This window comes from Homo sapiens, chromosome 5 (genome assembly GCF_000001405.40).
Source record: "Homo sapiens chromosome 5, GRCh38.p14 Primary Assembly".
In the NCBI taxonomy this organism is placed as follows: Eukaryota; Metazoa; Chordata; class Mammalia; order Primates; family Hominidae; genus Homo; species Homo sapiens.
In genome coordinates this window covers 136,427,192-136,433,053 of record NC_000005.10, presented here as the reverse complement: position 1 = coordinate 136,433,053, position 5,862 = coordinate 136,427,192, and the positions used below count along the sequence as shown (strand labels likewise).

Genomic DNA, 5,862 nt, shown 5'->3' with positions numbered 1-5,862 from the left:
GGAATGTGGGGCTGGATTGGAGCTGTAGGCATACTAGAGCAGAGCCTGGGAGATGCTCTTGGCACTCAGGGCATGGAAGTCCTCAGCTCAGAGACTCTGATTACACGGTATGTAGACATATGGGGCAGAAAGACTCTTCTTCTGTTGGGGAGCTGCAGAGGTCACCACCCCTGTTGGGGAGCTGCAGAGGCTCTGACCTGGTGGACTCTGGGAGCAGGCCAACAAGAGTGTTGATATCTCTTTCCCTTCACCTGAGCTTCTTCACCTGCAGGAGTGTCCCCACTTCCTCCTAGAGACTCCTTTCTCCTTCTTTGCAGCCTCTTTGTTCACGCAGACCCAACTCCAATGGCATCTCCTCCATGAAGGCTTTCAGATAACTTAGGGCAGAGTTGATACTCCATCTTTAGTGCTCTCACAATTCTTGTATGTCACAGAGGAGGTGGCACTGTAGCTGGGCTCAAAGAATAGGTAGGATTCTGGAGGCATTGTGTGTAAAAAATATATACATGGGCCAGTCACAGCGTGATGTCTTGGAAGGGTGAATGCATTCAGTCACTTATTCACTCACTCACTCATTCATTCTATGTATATTGTTGAGTTCTGACAAGGTGCCAAGTCAGTGCTCAGTGGTGAGAATCCAACTGGGACTCTGGTAGAACTGGTCCAGGCCTGCACAGAGAGGTAGGTTAGTCTCTCTCTCACGTGAACACACACTTGCTTTCAAAAACTGACATGCTGCATTGACAACTGCAGCCTCTGTGTTGTCCTGACCTGCTAGTTCAGTCTCAGGAAGAGTTGAGAGTTTATGGCAGATTAATAGCAAAATGCTACAGAGATTTGCATATGGAAGAGAGAACTACAATATTCATCCAATTTTTAAGTACAAATAAGGCTTTTTCTTTTTCTGTTCTTGCTATACCCTGGGCAAGAATCTTCTTAGAAATTGTATATCTCTGAAGCTAATTGCAGGATGTATTTTTCTGGATTTTTTTCCATTTATTTCCCCACAGAAAGAAATATTTGTTTCTAAATGTAAAGAAGATCTTCTGATCAGTTATGTATCCTCTGGAAATAAAAATGAACTGAATTATTCTAAGTTGAATGACATAGTATTTACCACAGTGGAAGAAAAAAGATGGGATATAATTTCTTTTTGAGAACCAGTCAGAAAACTCAAAGGGATTTTCATATACTCATACCAATTATTGGGGCTGTATGTATTCCCCCAAATTTGGGTGGTTTTGACCTCAGCCTGATTTTTGTTATAACTGTGTTCAACCTCCTGTTCAGTGAGTTATAAATGAGTTAAATGGTTTATTACTCTTCAAATAAGTGAGCTAAATGAAGTTTTATTTGGAAGGAATGTATGATACCTTTTGAAATAACAGATGGTTCACAAGAGGGTCAGAGATGGTCAGAGGGTCAGGGGATATAGGTTTATGGGCCCAGAAGCCCAAACTTGCACCACTGTTGAGGGTAGAATTCAGCAACTACTGCCAGTCATCAGGTCAGGCTCAGGTTGTAGAGGAACCAGCAAGAGATTCTCAGCCTTCATTCATCCAACAAACCCATTCTGAGAGATCCAGGTAGCCTGTAGTGCAAATGGGGAACAATAAGTACCCTGCAGAAAAGAACCTGGAGAAACTCCAATGGGCAGGAAGTCATGACATAAATGATCATGGAGGACAGAGGAGAAAAGCACCTCCCCCAGCCCCAGGGAGGAGGGAGAGGTGTGATGGAAGGAAGAAGGAAAAGGTGATACATAAAGAAAACTCAAAGGGCAAAAGAAGTGAGCCAGGTGAACAGGGCTCATGACATGCCAGAGAGAAGCAGCAGCATGTGCAAAAATGTGGGTGTGAAGTGTGGCCAGACATGTTGCAAACTGCAGGTCACTTCATCTGGCTGGAGTAGCAAGGGCATGAAAAATATGGGGAGGAAAGGGGGCCTGACTGTACTGTGGACACCTGTTAAACACTATGTTTAACCATTGCTAGGACCCAACCAACAACCAACTCTGGAGTCCTTCTGGGGGAGCCTCAGCAAGTTACTTCAACTCCCTGAACCTCGATTTTCTCGTCTGTAAAAGGGGCATAATAGCAGCACTTCCATATAGAGCTATAAATGAACTAGTAATCAACATAATGTACATCGTTTTGCCTTCATGGACTTCACATCCTGGTAAGTAACACATGCAATATGCTTGGCCCAATAAAAAGCATAGTATAAGTCCTTAAAATATTCTAACTGACCTGTCTTTTACTTTTGGTCACTAACCTCATTATTATTACTCTTTGGCTTATCTCAAGAGAGAATGTTCTTCCTACCAATCTTCATTTCCTAGGGATCTCACCCCCAAAAACTCCATGTAAAAGCCAATCAGATGATTCTTGCTTTCCTAATTTTCACACTTCATGCTCCAATGTGAAAATATTGCCTTATGTGACTATTTCAGTGCTAATTAGAAAACACATTTATTTATCCCTTTTATTACTTTGTTCAAGATAATTAAATCATTTATTGATTACACATGACAATGGGTGATACACATACTTCATTTCCATCTTTAATTTTATCTGCTACCATTAATCAATTTAGATGTATTCCATAGGATGTGCTAACAATCATCTTTATAACAAATAATTCATGATTTCCCTCTTAATGGCAAACTTCAGGTCACAACAGTAACCATCAGGTCAACTACACCAAGGTTTCTGAAGACAATGGGTTTTCTACCCAGAAGATTGTAAATAAATTCCAAATAGAATCTGTCATCACCCTGAAGGAATCTAACTTCACACTGTTGGGGAAGTTTACCAAGGTGGCTTCAGAGTAGACTAACTTTACACAGAACATTTTTTTAAAAGACACATTTATTCAGCATCATGTCAGACTATTACATTTAGCAATCAATAGCATGGGTGCAAAAACAAAAAAAACTACATTAAAACCCTTTGTTGGAATGCTTTATACTTTCCACAGAACAGAAACTAAAATCACTGGTTATCCAATTAGTCACAAATACAATTCTTGAGTTTTTTGCCCATACATATGAGTATTTGTCTAAAGCATGTCTTATTTGTAGCAGCTAGGCCCTGCCACCACTGTGCTTGGCTGAGTTCACAAATCTGTTGTAACCTGTAGCTTTCCTGTCACTTCTCTGACTCTCCTCTCCTGCTAAGCTGTTTCCTGGCAGTAATGAAAATCCTCGGACACTGCCATAGCTACTGCTGCTACTGGAACTGGCATAGCCACCTTGGTTTTGTACTTTGGCAAAGTATTGGCATCTACCACCACAGGGGCCAGACCTTCTTCCTCCAAAGTTTCCTCTCTTTATGCGTCCAAAATTTGAAGACTGATTGTTGTAATTGCCAAAATCATTGTAGCTTCCACCACCTCCAAAATTGCTTGCATCATTACCATATCCATTATAGCCATCCCCACTGCCACCATATCCACCACCACCAGGGCTGCCACCAAAGCCACCATGACCACTGAAGTTCCCTCCATGACCAAAGTTGTCATTCCTGCCAAAACCACCTCCACGACCACCACCAAAGTTTCCAGATCCACTTTGACCTCTTTGGCTGGATAAAGCACTAGCCATCTCTTGCTTTGACAGGGCTTTTCTTACTTCAAAGTTGTAGCCATTCCCACAGGATGGTATTTCTGAATGACAATCTTATCCACAGAGTCATGGTCATCAAAGGTTACAAAGGCAAAACCCCTTTTATTGCCACTGCTTCTGTCAGTCATGATTTCAATCACTTCAATTTCCCCATACTGTTCAAAATAATCTCTGAGGTGATGTTCTTCAGTGTCTTCTTTAAAGCCACCAGCAAGTATCTTTTTTACAGTTAAGTGGGCACCTGGTCTTTGAGAATCTTCTCTTGAGGCAGCTCTCTTTGGTTCCGTGTTTCTTCCATCCACCTTGTGTGCCTTGCATGCATGACTGCATCCACTCCTCTTCCGCAGTGGCATATGTGTCAAACCCAAAGCCCCTGGAGTGCTTGGTGTTTGGATCCCTCACTACCGCACAGTCCGTGAGCGTTCCCCATTGCTCAAAATGGCTCCTCATACATTCATCGGTTGTTTCAAAGCCCAACTCTTTGATGGAGAGCTTCTGCAGCTGTTCAGCCTCTTTAGGAGACTCTGACTTAGACACAATGACAGTCAGAAGAGGGACTTTAACAATATTTCCTCAGTGTCATCCACAGGCAGAAAGCTGTTTACCTTTTAAACGGTAAATGGTAGACATCCCATGGGGAGAGACATGAACTACATACAGAGTAAAACCATTTATACAAGGAAACTGACCCCTATAAATTAACAAGGAAACTAAATGAACTAGAAAGAACTTCCTATGTTTCCCGAGTTTCAAAAAGGAGTCTGTCCATCTGATACTAACCAAAGTCATAAATAAAATATTAGCAAATGGAATCCAGCACTGAGTTTAAATAATGAAAACTGATGTTAATGGCAGAATGTTTCCATGGTAGGAAATGCATTAATATAATTAATCACATCAATATATGGAGAGATAAAAGGAAATGACAGTTTTGATCATGGCAGAGTAGCTTCTACTGAGTGACTGAGATAGAAGCTCTGACTGCGGTGAGCCCAAGGGTGAATTAGATGAGGAATTGAGACAGCAGTTATAGAAGAGTCTTTCCAGGCTTGTAGGAAATAGCATAGGAAAGAGAGAGATGGGGTAGGAGCTTGAGACAGTGCACAGGGACAAATGATAAGTTAGGGTATGTGCCTTTTCAAGGTTTAAATATTAGAACATATTTATAGCCTGCAAGATAGGTGTCAATGTTGGGGGAATGTGTCAATATTAAAAAAGGGGAGGGGAAGGGAGGGGAGAGGAGGGGAGAGAAGGGAAGGGAAGGAAAGGGGGTGAACCTTCCAACTCTCAGTGAGTCTGATAAGGGGTTAAGAGCACAGACTCTAGAGCCAGACTGATGGGTTTGCATCCTGTCTCCATCATTTACTAGCTGCGTGTGACCTTGGGCAAAATACTTAACCTCTCTCTGCCTCATATACTCCCCTGCAAGGTAAAAATACTAATGATGCCTTCCTCATAGAGTTGCTATAGGATTAAATGAATTAATATTTTATAAAGTGCTTAGAACAATGTCTGGCAATATCTGTCAAATAAAACAAATAAAATATCTGTCTTCTACTAATTAATTATTTGTACTATTTGTTATTAATATTACCAGGTATAGAAAATGTATTATTGTATCTATTGTAGAATAGAAATTATTCCTTTCTGACTGGGTACAGAGAAAAGGATGGCAACAGGAATTGAAAAGATGCCAGATAATTAGAAGAAGAGTTGAGATCAAAGGTTGCCCATGCCACCTATGATCATCATGGAAGAGAGGCCGGATTCCCCGGAGTGTTGAAGGTGATGAGTCAGCCAGAAATCCCCAGATCCCACTCTGCCCCAGGATCATGTTGGCCATCATAACAAAACAAGGAAGGAGTGTGAAGGAAGAAGAAGTCAGAGCAGAATAAAGTGGCACCTGGGGTGAAGAGAGAGCCCAGGAGAAGAGCCAGGTGGTTAAAGAAGGACCTCCATGTTTGTTCCTTTATGCTTCCATATTATTTGAATCTTTGATAATGAAAATATGTCAATATAATATTTAGGCAGCTAAAAGAATGAATAAAGTGCAAGATGTAACTATCCAGGGAAAGCGAGAAAGGGCACACAGGAAGATCTCCCTGTATTGTTTTGTACAGCTGTATGTGAATCTATAAGTGCATCAGTAGAAATTTCAATTTAAAAAAAAAAATGATAGTGTGTTCTTGGGGGGAAAAAAATCCCTACACTGTCTTCCTCACTGTAATCTCAACCAC

At 41.4% G+C, this 5,862-nt stretch overlaps 1 pseudogene; it reads right to left on the bottom strand.

Annotated features, from left to right (window-relative positions):
- Positions 1-2,999: 2,999 nt before the first annotated feature.
- Positions 3,000-4,222, bottom strand: HNRNPA1P13 (heterogeneous nuclear ribonucleoprotein A1 pseudogene 13; annotated as a pseudogene).